This window comes from Homo sapiens, chromosome 2, assembly GCF_000001405.40.
Source record: "Homo sapiens chromosome 2, GRCh38.p14 Primary Assembly".
Taxonomy (NCBI): Eukaryota; Metazoa; Chordata; class Mammalia; order Primates; family Hominidae; genus Homo; species Homo sapiens.
Window position 1 is genome coordinate 89,950,208 of NC_000002.12, and position 21,897 is coordinate 89,972,104.

Here is a 21,897-nt window from a genome sequence, read left to right on the forward strand (position 1 = left end):
GCTTCAAAATATGGTGGACTGAATGTGACAAGGTTTCTCTGTCTGTGCCATGGCAGTGTAGAGGCAGGCAGGTGGCCTTGGTGGTGTCGGTGGCTCTGCTCCATGAGGTCACTCAGGTGGGCAGGAACCACGACCACCCTCAGCGCACAGCCTTCCTCCTTCCTCACAGTCTCTGCCCCCACGGCCATCCTCAGCAGCATGAGGTGGAGCAGAGTGAAGGGAAAGCTGTTTTCTTCTAAAGGCCAAAGAAAACTCCAGTTTTCCACCAGGGATAGATGTTCTTTTGTGTAAAGCACAGGTTTGTGAAATTTTTCACCAAGTGAATCTTGTGAAAAACTCACACTTTTTGTTGTTTTTAATCTGAAAATGTATTTACACGATTCCTGGTAATAATTTTTTTGAATATGTGATTATATTGTGGCAGTCTACCTGAAGTTGTCATTTACCATTGAGAATTACTGCTAAAAAGTCATTTGATAAAAAAAGACTCATCTGTGACAGACAGTCCTCCTTTGGAAGGACTCTGTCTTTTTATCCCTTTATACCCATTTTAAGCCCTTCGATGGCCTTTGGGTTTTTCTTAAACAATCAATGTATTAAGTTTAATTCATTATTTATGTTTAATAATTAATTTTCAATGTGCACATGTACCCTAAAACTTAAAGTATAATAATAAAAAAAAGAAAAAATATTAATTTTCACTAGCACAAAGTCAAAAATCCTGAACGTTGCTATGTCAAAGACCTGCCTCTAGATGGCAAACAAACCCCACAATAAACCAAAGAGATTGCCATGATCTAAAAATATTACTTGCATTGTAAGGGTGATGATGTCTGCTTATCAACATGGAGCCCCTAAGGCTGAAATGGGGTCTCATGTGTGACCTGGAGCACCCAGGAGGAGCTTCCAGCGTGCTGTCTTGTGGGGAAACCCCTCTTTGCTCTGTGATCTGAGAATGCAAGCCTGGCCCTATTCCCCTTATGCAGCTGTAGGAGATGATTGAGGTAATTGAGGCTAAATGAGGTCAAAAGGATGGGACCATGATCCAATAGAATTAATGTTCTTATAAGAATAGAAACCAGAGAGCTCTCCTTTTCTCTCTCTCTCTCTCCTCCCTCTTGCCCCTAACTCAACTTTCTACCCACGGTGGCTATCTCCAAACCAGGAAGAAGGTCCTTACCAGAAAGTGAACCTTGTTGGACTTTGATCTTGCAATTTCCAGCCACCAGAAATATAAAAATTAATTTCTGCAGTTTAAGTTGTCCAGCCATATCCATTTTGGTGTGGGAGTCCCAGTGGACTACTACACCATCCTTGCCAGCTCCAAGCAGAATCGGCCTCCGGAGGCTCCCCATGGACATGGGCACCCAGCTTTGTTCCTGTTCCTCCTGCTGTTCTGATTCTCTAGTGAGGAAGGAAGATGCAGGCTTCATCCTATTTGTCTGCATTTTCTACTAGAATGTCTCCTTGAAGATGAAGTGGTTAGCCTGTTTTGCTTTCTGATCAGAACTTCATCAAACTGAATGAACTACTTGTTTGGTATTAATACTTGGGGATGTTCATGTTTGTTCCCAACATAGATGCCAGTGGGTATGTTGTGTGCACTCCATCTCTTACCCCTTTTCCTATGTCCCCAGAGAGAAGGCCACTGTCATCTGTAGGGCCGGCCAGAGTGTTAAGAGCGTTCTATTTTAGCTTGGCTCCAGCAGAAAACAGGCCCAGCTCTGAGCTCCTGTTGGCTCCTGGTTCTCTGTGGATGCAACACCTGCCCGGGTCAGGGTTCAACTGCCTGGACAGATATCACTCTGGCCATCAGCAGTGAAGCTGATCAAGGAACCCCATTGTGAACAGGGTTCCAGCAGCTGTGTGAGTCGTGAAAGCTGGGCCGATAGGTCCCACATGGCTCCAGTCAGAGGGGAGGCTGCCAATAGGCTGTGGAGGGCTTTCATCCTGTGACCACACAGCCACTGACCTCAGGTGCTGCTCTGTCTGACAGGATCCCCTATGGGAAGGACCTGCCCACAGGAAGCTCTGGGCACCAAATGTTCCTCCACTGTGGCCTAGCTCCACCGCCTGTCTCCCTGGCACCTGCTGCTCTGTGTTCCTCAGACCCACTCTGGTCACTCAAAGTTCTCAGCAATGAGCAGGTCAGTGCTCAGCCCTGCAGGGACATGGAGGTAGAGCCTGAGTTTCCTCACTCTCGGGCTCTGCAGTGGGGAAGGAGCCATGGAGTGGTGCACCCATTGCTGGTTTTAAATGTTCCTGCTCAATTTATCACAATTTAAAGTCATGCATTATAACAACAAAGTTATATTTATTTCTGTATAAATACATATATTACATTGATTTATAATATAGATGCAAAATTTAAGAAGATACTTACTTTCAGAATAAAAAAGTGAATAAAATGTCACACATCAGGATTGATATGCCCACCAAGGCTTTGACTTGTCTTGGTGCATGATTGAATTAGGTTCTAATAGAAGGAGGCAGAGAAGAAGGTTAGAAATGGACTGTTATTCCTTAGGTTCTCTTAAGGGGGTGGAGGCCAAATAATTCACAGGTTGTCAGAAAATACCCCAGGGCTCTTTCTCAGTTGCCTGGTAACAAACTGGCTGAAGTTTGGTGCTTCTTTTCCCTGGAAAGAGGTGCTATGATTTTCCATAGCTTCCAGGTTGCCAGGAGCTGAATGCCTGGCATATCCAGGCCTTCCTCAAAAAGCTGGTTCCTGAGCTCAGAGTGCTTGGGGCCTGCACATAATATTCCTTCCCTGTGCTGATGGACAGCTCTAGGCTAGGAGAAGCCAGGGGAGAAGGAGAGGCTGGTGTGGGGCTAGAGAAGTGAACATTTCTCTCTGCTTATTGTTTTGTATTTTTAGTATATTTTCCATTCAATGTGTTATACATATCGTATGTTCACAATTATGTTTATTTTATGTAAATATCATCCTGTGAAATATGTCATTATGCTCACTGTTTTTCTACTGAGATGTATGAGTTAAAATATTTCAGTGTTGTTAAGGGTGAAACTTGTCTATTACTTCTCGTTGCTGCCTGATGATCCAGTCAAGATGTCAACTACATTTAACCTATGTTCCTGGTAATAGATACCCAGGTTGTCTCTAACTCCTCATCTTTAGAAATAATGATACAAAAGCCTTGTGGATATCTCCTTAGTTGTCTTCTAAGAGGTGTGTGTGTTTTGGATTGTGGGGATTATTTGGAAAATTACATGGAGCAAAACTGATGGTTCATAAGAAAATATTTAGTTGACTTGAGCAGTGCCAGAATTTTCTTTGGAAGGCTTACATTGACAGATGTTAAAGCTGGAAACTTTTAAATCAAATTATACCTCTTTTACTCTCAGAAAGAGACAGCTTTAATAACAAAATTGCACAAAGATCAAAAGATTAGCATCCTGCTTTAGAAATCTTTAATCTCCTTCTTCAAGTGAATGAAGCTTTCCTGCAGAGCAAAACAAATTATCTCACATTTAACAATGGAAGAATATGTGACATATTTAAAGGCCCCTTCAGCTGCAAGAGCCTCGGCAGGGCAGAACAACAGCAGAAAGGAGGATGCAGTGGGCTCTGAGCCACATCTTGCCAGAGGAAAGGCTCAATGAAAGCTCATCTTGATTCTTTCTGCTGGTGTGCAGATGCCTAACAAATACAGGTAGCAGAACAGCCAGAAAACTCAGGCCGCTTTGTAGCAAAACAAGTTGAATACACATGCACACATTTAACCAAAATTGGATTGATTTCACTTGCATAATTGTCAGTGTGGAGCCTAGAGACAGTGCACAGACTCCTGTGAGCAGGACACTCACCGGGGCCCTGCACAGTGTGAAGGCCCCAAACACAAACCTTCCAAAAAGGCTCAGCCTCTCAGTGTGGCAGGAGCAGCTGTGGTGCCCAGAGGATGCATCCACACCAAACTCAGGTGGAGGTGGCTGGAGAGCCTTTGAGTTAAGGAGGCCATGAGGCCTCAGTAAGGGGCACGGGCTCTTCTTCTGTATGAATGGGGGCCAGGGCTTTTACAGATTTTGAATAAGGCTATTTTAAGATCCCAAGGAAGAATAAAAGACCAAACTAAATAACTTCTGTTGATTTCCAAAATTAACAAAAGTATTCTTTCAACCATTTAATTCCATACCAAGTTACCAAAAATCCAAAATTCAGAACATGAAAGAGCCACGGGCTGAATGAATTATTCAGTGGCCATTCTTAGTCTTAAATAATAACACAAGCTCTGCACTAGCAGGTGGAAATGGTGAATTGCCTCTAATGTGGTAGCAGTAGCATAGTATAAACTTCACTTTTGGAATCAGGGAAACGTGAGACTGGGTAATTTATAAAGGAAAGGTGTTCAATTGGCTTACAGTTCTGCAGGCTGTGCACACATGGTGTGGGCATCTGCTTGGCTTCTGGGGAGGCCTGAGGGAAGTTTTACTTATGACAGAAGGTGAAGCAGGAGCAGGCATATCCCATGGCTTAAGTGGGAACAAGGCAGGTGGGGAGTGGCGTGAGGTACCACATGTGTTTAAACAACCAGATCTCACAAAGTACTCATCATCATGACAGTACTAAACCATGAGGGATGCACCCCCATGACCCCCAAACCTCCCACCAGGCCCCATCTTCAACATTGGGAATTATATTTCAACATGAGATTTGAGTGGGATAAATATCCAAACCATGTCAACATCTATCTTGGCTTTTCTTGGCCGAGAGAGAATAATCCAAAGTTTAAGTGCTCCTTGAAGGACAATTGGCCTCACCTTTTAGTACTTTTAGAAATGTACATGTTAGCTCTTCTAAAATTACCCTTATGCCAACCAAAAAATGAAATATTAGTAGTAAATGACAATTAAATAGAATAGAATAAAATAAATAATTTTGTTTTCCCTAGAACAGTCGTCTGATGAAATCACAAAGTTTACAAATAGCTGGAGGCTAGGATGACTTGTTAGTTACTTATTTAGGCAGCTCTTACACATGTTTCCTATTCTTGCTTTGGAAACTAGTGAACTCCAAAACTCAAAGATTATTTGATTCTTGCGTAGGATGGAATATAGCAGCCCTAGAAGAAATTTAAACCCAATTATGGGAATTTATATTAAACAACTTACTGGGGAGCTCGACTGCACCAAAATTATCTAAGACAAAAGAAAAAGAAGAAATCTGCTGATTAACTTGTTAAATTAAAGGAAATATTTACTGGGCAATTATATTCTTGAGTATGCTTCCAAAAAAGAGCAAGCTTTTATAGCTGGCATGTGGTTTTGAGATTTAATAAAGGTAATTTGCTTGGAATAGAAATTAATTCTTAATAGTGGTCAGAATAGCAGCTCAACAATGTAAAAACCTTATAAACACCCAGGGAAGCTGTGGTTTTTTGGAGACCTTATTTCAGGGACAGAGATCCCTTTATTTAAGGGTCAGAACTGAGAAGGAATCTTAGAGGGAATAAAGAATGTAAGGGACACAGAATGCTTAGGGATGCAACAAAATCACTGCCTCACTTTGTGCAGTCTGATGGGGGTGAGATGGGCCCCACAGAAAGATGAACATGCACGGAGGAAAAGCATCCCTGGAAGCACAGGACTCCACTAGCTAATCTCATATCTCAGTGTATACTTTATATCATTTTTTTTCTGTTTTTTTCTAAGAAAGAGGACAATCAATTGAAACATTTGGAAACAGGCTCAGATTAGGCTGATCAAGAACAGGGTCTGAAGATTCAGAAAGGTCAAATATGTAAATATCCCTGTGTCTCCCAGTGTTTAGAGAGATTCTCAGAAGCAGAAGATACCTATCCACAGAGCCCTCATTCCCTGTGTTCTCTGTGTACCTGGATATTTATCCATGAATCTGTGCTCCAGTTGGTCACAATTTTCAGCTGATGAGATAATGCAGACAACTTCAATCTCACGTGCCCTGGAAGCCAGAAATCCAGCGCAGAGGACCTGCAGCTTCACAAAGTGAAGCTCCCTCTGTGGGTGGCTTGGTCTCGGTTCTCACCAAGGACAAACTTTCAACTTTAACAAAAAATTTAAAAACCTCCATTGAGGTCCAGGTGGGGAAAAGACTGCAGCGTGTCTTCAGTCTCATCCATAGCAGTGTGGATTTTGTCTATCTGCACTAATATAGTCTTTAGAACAAAGTCTACAAAATGTGCAACAATGATGTATAAGTGAGCCAAAGGTGTCTTGTGTGAACTGCCCATATGTTGTTTGTTTCCAAATTGCAGCTTATTTCTCTATGGCCTGTGCCAAACTCAAACTTTACAATCCAATCATTTCAAAAACAGCCCCCCAAAGCAGATTTTTTGCCATGTAAAGAATGCTTACATTATGTATCTCAGAGAACCTTGCTCACATCTGCTAGAAATAGGTAAGCACCAGGTTATGAAAACCCCAGACTAATATTTCCCTCTGGTTCTCTCTGACCTAGAGACTCCCCATTGTGCTGCTGTATTGGGAAAAGCTGAGTGTTGGGAGAAGCTTAAGCAGGGCTTGCATGTCTGACATAATGTAAAACAGTCTTGGAACATGTCTGGGGTCCAGGGTCTAAAACCCATTGTGGCGTTTGGAACACCAAGCTCTGTGCTATAAAGGGTGGAAGGCTACCCTGACACACCGTAATCTAAGCCCAGGGCATAAAATCCCTCATGGCTTGGATAGAATCCAGGGTTCATGGCTCTGGAATGTGTCTACACTTGCTGGCTCCTTGCTCCTTGCTCTCCCAGGTTCGATTGTATCTTGAGTTAAAGGAACCTGCTCTCCATTATCTCAAGTAGCAGAGCGAATGCTAAACCATCACAGCTATAAATCTTGTGCCTAATGCAACGCGCCCTTTTGACCTCCACATTCTCACCACCTTTTTCTTTGTTGGATAACCAATAAATAGCACTGGGCTCCCAGAGCTCGGGGCCTTCACAGCCTCCATGATCACGATGGCCCCCTGGTCCCACTTTACTTCTCAAACTGTCTTTTCTCAATCCTTTGACTCCACCAGACTTGGTCATCCCCATGACCTGGTGTTGGGTCTGATCACCCCAACACTGCTGTGTGACAACACCTAGACACATAAGCCCCTTATACAGCAAATTTCTTCCTCCTCCCCTTCTGAATAACAACCTTGGCCCCTTGGCCTATAGACAGACTCTTGCTCAGGAACTACCGGCAAACCTGTCAAAGCTTCACCCAGTAAAAGTTGTGTGCGCTACTGCCATCCTGTGGACATCTCTTTTTCTTTGCCCAGGCTCCAAAGTCCTCAAATGATCTACAAACAACAGGATCACACTCTCCATCCAACCCCACAAACACTGACTTCCAAGGACACAAACACTTCCATTTCCATGATTATCTTCCCATGTCATACAAGTAATATACTTACTTCCAATTTTATGGGCTCCGATCTCACAGCATCAGGCAAAGGAGACACAACTACAGTAAGATCCACCTGTATCAGTCCTTCCTCATTCAGATGACCATGGTTCAGATTAGAGACACACAGAGGCCTGCTTCCCACCTGGATCAAATGGAGACTGTTCTTACACCTTCTTACCTGTGTCCACTGTGGAGCCACCTGCTTCGTCCATTGTTATCAAAGCCTTGGCATAATGTGTTAATGTTTGGGAGACAGAGATTTCTATTTGGAATTAGAAATATTATTATTTAAGTACATAGATAGTATAGGGTAGTTTCAAAGCTTTTTTTTGCACCAAATAATTTTTATAAGATTTTACATTTTCTGAATACGTAAGGGCAACAGATTCTGAAGTAAATTACCAAATACAATGGCAGACTCCTTAAAGCTTTGTTGTTAATTTTCATAGCGAATAGCAATACTCTCTGAAATTCAAAAATATTAAAGAATATTTTGTAAAAATAACATATTCTTGAATTGCCTTGCAAAAGAAAGCACGACAGATTTTTATCATTTGTCATTTTCTCTCAATTCAAGCATCCATATTAGATAGTAGATAGAACTGATCCTTCATTTAACATACTTTCAGAGTAATCCTTTAAAACCAGACATAATGCATTCAATAGTGTTCTTTTTTGTTAGTATGTTAGGTTTAGTTTGCATTTATTATTTTTTCTTTCCACCTACCAATATTTCTGAATCCTTTCACTAGCATGATTAATTAAGAGTCTGAAATTTTCAAGACTAAGAACCTGCATTGAATTGGTCAACATCATGGGATAAAAAAGTTAAATACACAAAACTTACAAAATTAAATAAAAGAAAATAATAAATATTTTAAAGACTGAAATATAAGACTTTTATTGTACTCCTACCTCCTCATGATAATTTGTGGTCATCAACTCAGAATATTAACATGGAGTTCGACATTTAAGATCATTTTTACTCAATTACTTTTTCCAATCTTGTTAAAAAGTCTTATTTTGGTAGATTTCCCAAAAGATATGCAGACCAAGCTTTCTTGTGGGATCATACTTAGAACTGCATTTGTTTGTGTTTTTTACCAAGTAAGCATGACTTTGGGTTAAATTACCCGAGATTACATAGTACTGCAATCTATTACGTTGGCTCTCCCCAGATGTTTTCTCTCCAGGACAGTGAGTGTCCTTGTGAAGGGATCTGATGTAGGCACAATCTTTCAAGAGCTGTTCAACTCAATCTTGAGCATATCATTGACAAACAAATAGTTGGATTGTTTCCCTGTTTTCATGATCAGCTGTGTGGTAGATTGACATCTCTGAGCTGTGATCGTCTTTACATGAAAGCTCAGGAAAATGCCAGTCATGGGTAATGGTGACCATGAGACAGTAAAGCTGTGGATCCAGTTCGTGCTCTTCTTACATAGAGAATTTCCACTCAAATTGTGAACTCATGGCTGTGGCTGCACCACTTACAGGCCCAGGGGACACTCAGATCTCACTTGGTAGTTGACGAAAAACTGGAAGTCCTGATAGGACCTCATTCCACATGATGAGGAAGACTGTGGGAAGAGCTTTTGTTAACACCATTCAGAAAAACATAGTGCAAAGTTAGTTTTTGTTCATTCTATATAATTATCCTAGAAAAGTCTTCCCTTAATAAATCCTTCAGGTTAATCTAGCATATGTGAGATGATTATGATGGAATATATACCAGATTGAACAATTGGTCACCAGGAATTTTATATTCACTGCCTGAGGAATAAATTGTTTCCCACTTTCCTCTTACCTGCACTGGGCTCTTGAATCTAAATATAGAGACCCACATTATTTTCCCTATGAGGCCCTTGGACAGAGCGCTCTTATGGGGCTCACTCACCAGGTGCCAGGGGAGGGTAGATTCCAACACTTGCTATGAACATTCTTGAACAGTTATCCTGGAAACCGCAGATACCAGACCACTCTTGAACTGGCTCAAGACTATGTTTTATTTGTAGGCTGTCTGCTCATCAGTGTTTGTAGGAAAGGGTAACGTTTCCTTTTTTAGATTAGCTGGGAGGGAGCCAAGAAGAATGGCATTCATCCATATTCATTCTAGACATATCTCTACATTGTTAGGGTTGTTATGCTTTCCTAGAGTTGCATATCCTACACAATGGGACCTACCCAAGATTCAAACTGTCACAGTCAGATCCTTCCTCCCATTTTATATCACATTGCTCACAGGAGAGACATATCCCCTGCCCGCCTGCCCCATTGACTCTTTCCACACCACTGCATGCACCAGGGGATTTGCATATTGTCCCACAGGGAGGACCTTCCCTTGTGAGTCTGAGATAAAAGCTCAGCTGTAACTGTGCCTTGACTGATCAGGACTCCTCAGTTCACCTTCTCACAATGAGGCTCCCTGCTCAGCTCCTGGGGCTGCTAATGCTCTGGGTCTCTGGTAAGAAAAGAAGGAGATGAGGAAGGAGAATAGGGTGGGAGGGTGAGCTCTAGGGCTCCACAGCATCCCATGATCCCATGTTTAGTCTAACCCTGTGTTAGAGGAGTATAATCTGTGCTGTAGAAAAGGGAACTTGATATTTTGCTCTGTGAATAATTAGAAGCCTCATAAGAAATATGACGTCTGGTGCTCCGATTAAGATTTTCAAAATATAAAGGTCTCTTATACTTTACAAAAATTGAATTCATTTTAGAATGTGTATTTTTATGGCATAAATCAGTATTTTTTAAAATTAAGTTTAAATAAATGACATAAGATAAATTATGAAAATTGCTCATTAGGTTTGTACATAACTTTGCAATTCATTATTTCAGGATCCAGTGGGGATATTGTGATGACTCAGTCTCCACTCTCCCTGCCCGTCACCCCTGGAGAGCCGGCCTCCATCTCCTGCAGGTCTAGTCAGAGCCTCCTGCATAGTAATGGATACAACTATTTGGATTGGTACCTGCAGAAGCCAGGGCAGTCTCCACAGCTCCTGATCTATTTGGGTTCTAATCGGGCCTCCGGGGTCCCTGACAGGTTCAGTGGCAGTGGATCAGGCACAGATTTTACACTGAAAATCAGCAGAGTGGAGGCTGAGGATGTTGGGGTTTATTACTGCATGCAAGCTCTACAAACTCCTCCCACAGTGGTACAACCCCTAACAGAAACCTCCTCCTGGGGTTGCCCAGTTGCTCACATGTGCTGCTTGTCTGGAGAGCAGCTCAGCAGGGTCTCTGAGTCTGCAGAAGAGGAGGCTGTTGGAGACCTCAGGGCAGAGGTTGCTGCTGAGGACTCTGGCTCATGATAGCCTCAGCTGTACTTCAGTCCCACATGTTAAGGCCCCATTAGGTGAAAAATAAATGATTCCAAAAACTGAGATGAAATACCAAGGAGAATCAGAGTACAATTAAGGCTGTTACAAAGAAGCCTCAAAATATGGTGGACTAAATGTGACATGGTTTCTGTGTCTGTTGCCTGACAGTGCAGAGGCAGGTGGGTGGCTTTGGTGGTGTCGGTGGCTCTTCTCCAAGAGGTCACTCAGATGGGCAGGAGACACGACCACCCTCAGACACAGCCTTCCTCCTTCCTCAGAGTCACTTGCCCCCATGCCCATCCTCGACAGCATGAAGTGGAACGACTAGAGAGAAAGCTGTTTTCTTCTAAAGACCAAAGAAATCTAGAGTTTCCCATCAGGGATAAATGTTCTTTTACTTTAAGCACGCATTGGAGAAATTTTCCATTTAGTGGATCTGCTGATAAACCCACTTTGTTTTGTTTGTTTGTTTTGTTGTGTTGTGTTTTCAGATGGAGTCTCTCTCTGTCACCCAGGCTAGAGCGCAGTGACATGATCTCGGCTCACTGCAAACTGCCTCCTGGGTTCAAGAGATTCTCATGCCTCAGCCTCCGGAGCAGCTGGGATTACAGGCACCCACCACCATTCCAGGCTAATTTTTGTATTTTTAGTAGAGACAGGGTTTCACCATGTTGGCCAGGGTGGTGTCGAACTCCTGATCTGAAGCGATCCACCTGCCTTAGCCTTCCAAAGTGCTGGGATTATAGGCGTGAGCCACTGCACCTGGCAGTTATTTGCTCTTATATGATAATGTAAAATTATTTTGGAAAATAATTTTTTGAGTATATAGTTATGTTTGTGGCAGCCTATTTGAATTTATCATTTGATAATTTCTACTAAAATGTCTTTGTTATAAAAGTCATATGACTTTAATTGTCCTCTTCTGAAAAGAATATGGTTTTTTATCCTCTCAGGCTCCTTTTAGGATATTCAGTTAATCTCATTTTCATACAATATATTAATTTTAGTTTATTATTTCTGATAAATTTATTAAGTAATTTTCACTATAACAAAATTAAAAATCCCATAAATTGCTATGTCAATAACCTGTCTCTGGGTGTAAACACACTCCACAATAAAGAACACCAAGGTCTTAGAAACACTGGGAAAATAAGACTGATAGTGTCCGATTATCAATGAGAAGTCCCTAAATCTAGAACGGTGTCTCATGTGTGACCTGGGACATCTGGGATGAGCTGCCAGTGTGCTGAGTTGTGGGGAACCTGCTCTGTGCTTGGAGGCTGAAAGCATATCCTTTCCCTCCCTACTGCCTTACCTGTGTCCACCTGCTGTGGTCTAAATTGTGTTCCCACATTCATGTTGAAGGTCTAATCTCCAACGTGGCTGTAGGAGATAGGACCTATAAGAATATAATGGAAGTTATAAGGGTGGGGCCCTGATCCAATAGGATTAGTGGTTCTCATAAGATCCAGAGATCTCTCTTTTTCCTCTCTCTCTAACTCCCACACTCATATGGAAAGACCATATGAAAGCATGGTGAGAAGGTAGCATCTACAAACCAGGAAGAAGGTCTTTACCAGAAATTGAACCCTGCTGGACCTTGATGTTGGACTTCCCAGCCATCAGAAATGTGAAAATAAATGTCTATGGTTCAAGCCACCCACCCAGAGTATTTTGGTGTTGCAGTGAAAGAAGGCTCATTCACTATCCCCACCCTCTCTGAGCAGGATCAGCATCAAGAAATATCTCATGGACGTGGGGACCCAGCTTTGCTCCTATTCCTCCTGCTGTTCTGACTCTCTCTTGAGGAAGAAGGGAGGGTTCAGGCTTCATCTTCAGTTTGTTTGCAATAAACAGGAATGTTTCCTTGACAATCAGTTAATTAGCCTGTTTTATTTTCTGAATAGAATTTAACCAAACTGAACAAACTACATGCTTGGTATTAATATTTGGGGTGTTCATGTTTATTCCACATTTAGATGGACAGTCTCTAGCCCCTCTTCATGTGTACTAGTAGAGAGGGTCACTGTCACCTGCAGGGCCAGCCATAGTCTCAACAATGTTCTAGCCTGGCACCAGCAGAAGCCACAGCTGGCTCTGAGCTTCTGCTGGCTCCTGCTGCCTACTCTACACAATGCCTGTTGGGTCAGGGGTGATGGGCTTGGACAGAGTTCACTCGGGCCATCAGCAGCTGAGCTGCCTTCATGGCATCTCGTTTTGTGAAGAGGATGTCAGCAGCCACATGAGCCATGATAGCTGGGCAGAGAGATCCCACATCACTCTAGTCAGAGGAGAAGCTGCCAATTGCCAAGTGGAAGGGTTTTGTCCTGTGACCCTGTGACTACACAGCCACTGAGTCACATGTGCTGCTGTGTCTGAGAAGAGCCCCCAGGGGAGGAACTGTCTACTCGGAGATCTGGGAACAAAACTTCTCTCCAATCAGGGCCCAGACCCACTGCCCATCTCCCAGCCACCTGCTGATTGTGTTCCCCACACCCCCCTTGGGTCTTGGGGGCTCTCTGTCCTGCTCAACAGGGACATGGGGAAGGGTCCTGAGCTTCCTGACCTTCAGGAAGTCAGGAAGGATCATGTTTATGGTGTGCTATTGCTGGTTTTAAATGTTCATGCTCAATTTATCAAATTTGAAATCATACCTTATACCAACAGTTATATCTATTTCTATATAAATATACATATTATGTAGATGTATAATATAGATACATATTATATACAGATACATCAATAATTTATATCCATAATATTATATCTATTTAATTTAAAAGTTTACATAGTATGTCCATATATTCATTATTTTTGTAGCATGTGTTCCTTTTATTTCTAAGCAGAACAGAGGCTCGCTGAGTAAAGTCTGTGGACATTTGCTGACTCTCCCTCTTTGGCTCCAACAGGGTCCTGGTGTCTCAGGACCAGTGAGGACAGAGCTGAGGACAGCCAGCCCCAGGAGCCCAGGCCCAGCCCTAAGGCTCTGGTCTCAGAGACTTTCATCCTCACCTCGGGCTCTGGGCTTGGTGTGGCACCCGTGGGTGTGTGAGCAGTTTCCTTCTCTGAAGCCCCATTCCATGCAGCCCCGTGGATAGGGCCTGTGGTTCCCCCCAGGTCCTCAGCCCCATGGTTCAGGAGAGAAGCTGCTACTGCCACAGACCAGGGCCAGTGACCGGCAGCTTGGGTAATGCAAACATTAGTCCTGGACTGAGGACCCTATGCCAAATAACTCCCCCATTTATTCCAGTACCTGAAAGTCTGTCCTGGTCTTAATTGCACAGGCCACATTTCCTTAACTAGTGAAGCCAGCATTGGCAACTGAAAAACTAGAAATTTGACTTCATTGTCATCCTCAGGGTCTGGCCCACTCCAATCCCACCACATAAAGAGGCCCTTGAACTTTCTCTTTCCCATGCAACTTAACTTAGACACATAGTGAAATACAACATTGCAAAACTCTTGGCACCTACACAGCAGCCATCCCCTCTCCTTGGGCGTATAAGGGAGCAGCTTCGCCCTGCTGCACATGGCAAGGACAATGAAGAGGAGCAGGGAGTGGGGCACATGAGCTCCACAATGAGATGTCAGAGGTGAGCAGCACTTCAGGGAAGGACTTTGATCCCTCATAAAGGCATAGAAGGTGAAGAGCTTTGTCCTGCATTTTTTTTCCTGAAACAGGTATGCGTGCACATTGATACTTGGAGGCACTGCAGCCCTCCTAAGATCATGAGGCTTTGAACCCAAGACTGAAAAACTGAAGTGCAAAGAAGAAATGTAGCAAAAACCTGGGTCCTTTTGCTGTCACCAAGTTGCTGCACCAACCTCAAATGTTCCAAACTTCAGAATTCTTATCTCTGCTTCAGCTATTGCTATCATTTCTTGCAATTGCTTCTAAAATTATTTTAACTTATCCAGAAAAAATATTCAAGGGAAAGAGACTGACTGGGTTCTTATTTGTGTTTATGGGAGTCTAAGACACAAAAAAACAGGAAATCAGAAAAAGTGATGTCTTCTCCTAACATCTTTGTCATTCTATGCCCATGGTTAGAGAAATCCAAACCACTTTGAAGAATGTATAAATTCTGCTCTCTTCCTGTCTCCATTTCTCTTTTTATATCTTAAGCATAAAACAGCTCCTTGGCCGGGCGCGGTGGCTCACGCCTGTAATCCCAGCACTTTGGGAGGCCGAGGCGGGCGGATCACGAGGTCAGGAGATCGAGACCATCCTGGCTAACACGGTGAAACCCCGTCTCTACTAAAAATACAAAAAAATTAGCCGGGCGTGGTAGCGGGCGCCTGTAGTCCCAGCTACTCGGGAGGCTGAGGCAGGAGAATGGCGTGAACCCGGGAGGCGGAGCTTGCAGTGAGCCGAGATCGCGCCACTGCACTCCAGCCTGGGCGACAGAGCGAGACTCCGTCTCAAAAAAAAAAAAAAAAAAAAAAAAAAACAGCTCCTTGTTCTTCTTAATGTCTCCATCCTTCAAGATCATAGAAACAGAATCATGGTTAAGAAACTGGAAAAAACAGTTGGAGAAAACATGAAATCTAGGGATTGTATGCATTTCCTCTACACTAATGTGGTGTTTGCAGGGTTCCCCTGCTTCTCAGTTGTTTTTGCTGAAGATGCCGACTGTTCCAGCCAGATTCCTGTCAGAGGTTGTGTTTGGAGGGTTTAAAAGAAAAGCTTCCAGGGGCTTAGGGCTGAATTCCAAAAAGGATAGCCGGAGAGTGGCTCTGGATTCCCAGCAAGGAGAATGCCAGATTGAGTCTTGGGAAAGACTATGGACATACTGGATCCCAGGCAGAGACTTGTAGCAGGGAGAAAGCCTCCACAGAAAATCCCTGCTAGGGCAATATCTAGTAGAGCCATGAAAGTGAGGCAGCCTGGGAGACCACAGAATTGTAGGGCCAGCAGCATGCAACTCCAGCCTGGGAAAGATGCAGGCACAAGACTCCAACCCATGAAGGCTTCTGGGTGAAGTGAGCCCAGTAAAACCATAGAGGTGGGGCTGCCTGAGGCATTGGTAAACCAACTCCCACCCCAGATTGCCCCAGATATGAGATTTGAAGTCAAAGATTATTCTCCACCTTTAAGACTTAATGTTTTTCCTGTTGGGTTTTGGGCTTACTTGGGACCAGTTAAACCTTTCTTTTTACCTATCTCTCTTTTTTGGAATGAGAATGTTTATCTTATGCCTGCCCCACCATTGTACAGTTGTCCCTCAGTTTCCATGGAGAATTGGTTCCAGGGTCCTCCACAAATACCATAATTTGTGGACATTCAAGTCCTGCAGTCAGCTCTGAAGAACCTGCAAATATGAAAAGTATACCCTCTGCATCTGTGGATTCTGCATCTGCTGAATACTCTATTTTCAATCCATGGTTGTTGAATCTGTGGATGTAAAACCCATGGGTAGGGAGGGCTAATTGTATTTTGGAAGCATGTAACTTGATAATTCACAGGCTTATAGCTGGAATTAATTTGCCTGGGATAAATAGTGCCTCGAATCTCACCCATATGTGATTCAGATGAGGCTCTGGACTTTGGACTTTTGAGTTGATGCTGGACCAAATTGAGACTTTAGGTGCTATTGGGATAAAATGAATGTATTTTTCATGTGAAAAGGACATGAACTGGAGAGAGTAGGGTGGAATGCTGTGATTTGAATGTATCCTCCTCAGTTCATTTGTTAGAAATTTACTCCCCAATGCAGCCATGTTGAGAAGTGGAAACTTTAAGAGGTAATTAGGTCACTAGAGCTTTGCCCTCATGAATGGTTAATGTCATCATGATGGGGGTGAGTTTGTTATAGTGAGAGTGCGTTACTTATAAAAACAAGTTTGACCCCTTCTTGCTCTTACTCACTCTGTCTTGCCTTTCCACCATGGAGATGCAGCCAGAAGGACCTTGCCAGATAACTGCACCTTGGTATTTGACTTTCCCACCTCCAGAACTGTGAGAAATAGATTTCTAACTGAAAAGATAAATTACCCAGTTTCAAATATTCTGTTATAACAGCACATACTGAAACAAATATGTTACTATCATTATTTATTTTCAGAGTCAACATTCCCCTATTTTGTCCAAGGGGAGCCCCATTCAAGCTAGCTCCTAATAACTTTTTCTCTTACCCCATCATTTTCTGAGCACTTCCTTAGTTTCTGACACAAGAAATGCAGGCTCATCTTATATTTTTTCTGCTCTAAACCTGAGATCAGATATTTTTCCAGTAATTATTCTTTTTAATAGAGATTGATATTCAATAAAACAAGATTTGAGCACTCAAGGTGTTTATTGAGACTTGTGTGTTACTGCTTCTAGGAAAAATTACCTGTCTATCTGCATATGTTTTAATCTATATCCGTATAAAACTCTCCAAAAATTAGTGAATCTACATTAATGTCTCTAATTACAATCCACATCTACAGTTTCTCCTTTTTTATATTTGTAGCTTTTTTTCCAAACTGAGAATCTTGGCTGTAATTATTCATACCATATTTACTTAAATGATCAAACATTTTGTGTGACACCAATCTCCCACTGTCCCTGTCACCTAAACTTTCCTTGCGGACAACTTCCCTCTTATGCCTCACACACCTTCATTAGTCTTGATACTCCGTGCCAGTCCACCGTGAACTTTGCATCCCTGCATAGCTGCCCTTTCCCCCCCGGGGCTCTGACATTAGCAACAGTGTCCTCCACCCTTGTGACTGTCCTGCTCATCCTCATCCAGCTGTGATGTCCTGCATAAGTGGGATGAGGGGTCTTGCATCCTGCACACCCAGGTAGGGATACTTGTCTCTGCTAACTATAGCTTCAACGCACAGGTAGGCTTTCCTCTACACCCCACAACACGGGTGCACTTTCTATATTGTGTAGGCTCAGTATCTCATACAATTCCCTGGCTTTTTGTTGCATAGTTTTCTTTCTGAACCTGCTCGGATCAAGTGCCCTAAACCCAGTCATTAAGAACTGTTTTCTCTTAGGAGCTGGAAGAGATTGGTGATTTGGAAATGTGCAGGTATAAGAAACAGAGTAGTCACAGGGATAGAGGGTGACAACTTGGTTTAGAGGACACCTCAGCTTCTGAAGGGGAATGGCTTGGATAAGAGAAATAAAAGGCATAAATAAAATTCAGGGAGCACAGGGAAATATCTAGCATGAGACTGTAGGATGGCATACAGAGCTAGAATATAGCTGAGAACTTTCAGAAGTAAAGGGAGAAAATTTATCATGTTGGCTGGCCCAGCTGAAAGAGGTAGGAAAGAACATTCAGATATGGAGGATAACAATTATGTGTCTGGAGATGGGAGATTAGCTATGCCAGATAGCCAGTGGCAGGACCCTTCCTTGCTGTGGCATTATTTTCAAGTATTAGGGTTTTTTTAAGTTTTTTATTTCTTTTTTAATGAGCAAATCTATCTATCTATCTATCTATCTATCTATCTATCTATCTATCTATCTATCATTCATGATTATACCTTAATGCATCCATTGTTGGTAGCACTGACAATTTACAGCACTGGTGTTTCCAGGGAATTGGACCAAAAAGGAAGTCTCTCTGACCTTAATAGTACTCATCTGTATCAAATGCAGGAAACTTCTAAAATTTCTTGAGTTTCTAGAGATGTTTTTCCCTAGCAGACCTTATCATAAATAGAAAGCTAGCAAGAGAAGCATGTCATGAAACATGAAGAGAGCAAAAGAACACTCCACACATAGGACAGTAGGCTGATTCTTTCCTGTAGCCTGCAGGGAGAAACACATGCTCTGCAGACTTTGGACACCTGGGAGGCACTGGGCCTGTGCAGTGTTATTGAGATAAGTCATCTTTGCAGCTGTGCAGATTTGCATGTCCCACAGAGCAACGCCTACTGCCCTGAACATTTATCAATAGGCTGGTGACATCCTGTGCAGAAGTCTCTCTCAGTCCGGACACAGCATGGACATGAGGGCCCCCGCTCAGCTCCTGGGACTCCTGCTGCTCTGGCTCCCAGGTAAGGAGGGAAACAACAAAAATTTTATTCAGCCAGTGTAGCCATTAATGCCTGGCACTTCAGGAAATTCTTCTTAGAACATTACTAATCATGTGGATATGTGTTTTTATGTTCCTAATATCAGATACCAGATGTGACATCCAGATGACCCAGTCTCCATCCTCCCTGTCTGCATCTGTAGGAGACAGAGTCACCATCACTTGCCGGGCGAGTCAGGGCATTAGCAATTATTTAGCCTGGTATCAGCAGAAACCAGGGAAAGTTCCTAAGCTCCTGATCTATGCTGCATCCGCTTTGCAATCAGGGGGTCCCATCTCGGTTCAGTGGCAGTGGATCTGGGACAGATTTCACTCTCACCATCAGCAGCCTGCAGCCTGAAGATGTTGCAACTTATTACTGTCAAAAGTATAACAGTGCCCCTCCCACTGTGATACAAGCCTGAACATAAACCATGGAGGGAAGTAGATGTGTGAGTCTGGGCTGCCCCAGCTGCTCCTCCTGGTGCCGCCGTCTGCTGACAGCAGTTCTCAGATGCAGCCAAGGTTTGAAGCTCACTGGGAAGTTTTGGTAGAAGGGGTCAGGGAGGCACATTTACATTCTATCTCTCTTTATCCTCAGCTCCATCAGCTGATATGCAAGTATCTCTCCTGATTATTATTAATAAAGGACAAAGAAAATTAAACCTAGGAGGTCTAGATTGCAGCAAAAGTCAGACTTATACAGAAAAGGAGAAGGTACTCTACATATTTTTAAAGAATTTTTTTTTGATACAGGGGATTAGAGTCTAAATTATGACCTTTCAAAGATCAGACATAAGTACATACACATATAAGTATGTTCAGCCAACAATATATCAGATAAACGTATTGCACCTATATGTATACTGTAAACATTTATGCTCCGATCCCACCTTCTTCCAACACTACCCAGATCAAGATCCACACTCTTCCCAGCATCTCAAATATCTCCCCAGGTTACTTCCCTGTCAATTCCGTGTTCCATCTATCATCATCCTAGGCTTCCGCTGTATTTTATTTCAATATTTATTAATTTTTCCTATACTTAAGCTTTATATAATTTCAATCATACAGTATTTACTCTTTGACGTTTTGCTTATTTTGATCAAAATATTTTTGAGTTTCATCTGTGTTGTTTCTCTGGCAGTAATTTGTGCCTTTTTATTGAGGCACAATTTTCCATGAATATGCCAAAATATATTCATTTTTCAACTAATGATTTGTTTTTGGTTTAAGAATATTACTGGTAAAAACCTTAAGAACATTCTTGTGCTTGTCTTTTGTGAACTTATGCACTCATTTCTCTTGGGAATATTCCTAAGAATGGAAGTGTTGAGTTATAAAGTTAGCATAGATTTTGTCTTAGTAAACATTGACAATAGTTTACTGAAATACTGAACATATTTACGTGAAACCAACCACGTCATAAAAGTCTCAATTGCTGTCAATCTTTTTCAGTACTCAGTACTGTCAAACTTTTATTATATCTAGGGTGGAGGCCAAAGCAACCCCATCTTGGATGCTAATTTTCCATGTCTGACTTCTGATTAACCTGAGTTCTGGGACGGTCTCTAAGATTTTCAGTTTATCTATTTTATCTTATTTAAGAGCAAGTACTTAGCATAAATCCTGCCCTTAAACAACCTTGATGTAATCATTCTTTGATTGTCGTACACATCCTTTCTGAACCACTGGTCTCCTATGGTATACAAGCCCTATTTGAGAGGGGTCATGGCAAGTGATTGACCATCTTATCTGCCTACTGTCAGAGACACAGACACGGCTTCTGTTTTTAAGTCTCTATTAAATGTTTCTTTCTGAGAAACTGGATGTGTCGGCCTCTTTCTTCAGCCTTTCAGCTTCCTCAGGCATTGGGGTCAAGTTTGCATAGATCTACCCTGTCATGTGCACTCCAAGGTCAGAGTTAACCAGGCCCATGTGTGTTTATGTCTTTCCACAATGTCAGACTTTTACTGATGCTATTTCCAACACAGAAGCTGCAAGCTACATGGAGCTCCCAAGGAGCCATTCAATTGTCAGTGTTGCGGGCACACAGGCTAAAACCATTGCACAAGCCGGTCAATATTGCAAACCATACATAATAGTATTCTTAATCAATACATAAACATTATAAGTTAAAGTTTACACAATGCAACATTTAACACCAAAAGAAAAAAAATAGGAGAAAGAGTTATCAAATCAATCCAGGGGTAGTGAAGAAGACAAAAAGAATCCTGGTCTGGCCTGAAGGTCCCTTGGTCCTTGCAAGGAAGAGTCTCTGATGTGTCAGAGCCTTCTTAGACAGATGAGGAGTTCTTACCACAAATGACAACGGGATGGTTGTGAATTAAGATGGCCCTTTTGAGATACTGACAGCCCGCACTTTCATGGTCACAGAGTCCTCTGGTAAGAACTCATAGTGCAAGACTGTGCTTGCTTGTGACCTTATCTGGTTGGATGCAGCCTTTATTTTTTTTATTTTGTAGGCAAAACATTTTATTCTTGTTGGCAAGCTGCCCTATGAAACATATAATGCAGTCTTTATCTGAGATGGAGTCAATTATGTCAAAGTTCCACTATACATATCCAGCACAAAACATCTGTACTGATAAATCTGAAGTTGTATCATGATTAAAATTTATACTTCCTTAATAGGTAATGATGTTGAGTCACTTTTCATATATTTATTTTCATTGGCTGTTTGCGTATCTTTAGGGAAGTTCCTGTTCAAATCATGTGTGTGAGTGTCTGTGTGTGTAATGTTATATTAATCATACACATTGATACGATTAGAAGTTCTTAATTATAATGTAATCTAATTTGTCATTTTACTTGTCATTTTTTTCTCCTGTGTTTGTTTTGTGTGTTTACATGTGTCCTCTGTTTAATAAATTTTTACCACCAAAGGGCTTAAAGATATGCTCCTATGCTTTCTTGAAGAAGCATCGTTATTTTACCTCTCACATATAGGCTACAGTCTATCTCTAATTCATGTTTTTTGCCTGGGGTGAGGTGGATCAAGAATTGTATTTTGATGTCTTGTTTTATTTATTTTTATTTTCATACTCAACAACTCCTCACCATTTCTTGCAAAAATAGAGCAAAACACAACAAAACAAAAAACAATTGAAAACCTATACCTCACTCTATTGCCTGTGTTTAAA

General features: G+C 42.1%; 1 pseudogene, 1 gene segment (V, D, J or C) and 1 further gene, besides 4 other annotated features; all 3 read left to right on the forward strand.

The window, feature by feature from the left end:
• IGK (immunoglobulin kappa locus) overlaps positions 1–21,897 on the forward strand; it is a 1,378,008-nt gene that overhangs the window by 1,092,847 nt on the left and 263,264 nt on the right.
• Positions 9,808–9,856: a sequence feature (IGKV2D-28 leader sequence).
• On the forward strand, positions 9,808–10,540 carry IGKV2D-28 (immunoglobulin kappa variable 2D-28). The segment is given in 2 exon segments: positions 9,808–9,856; positions 10,231–10,540. Coding segments are annotated over 2 exon segments (359 nt in total), but the record flags the coding sequence as incomplete, so codon positions are not given.
• Positions 10,231–10,241: a sequence feature (IGKV2D-28 leader sequence).
• Positions 18,662–18,716: a sequence feature (IGKV1D-27 leader sequence).
• On the forward strand, positions 18,662–19,137 carry IGKV1D-27 (immunoglobulin kappa variable 1D-27 (pseudogene); annotated as a pseudogene). Its single transcript is given in 2 exon segments — positions 18,662–18,716; positions 18,841–19,137. Coding segments are annotated over 2 exon segments (352 nt in total).
• Positions 18,841–18,851: a sequence feature (IGKV1D-27 leader sequence).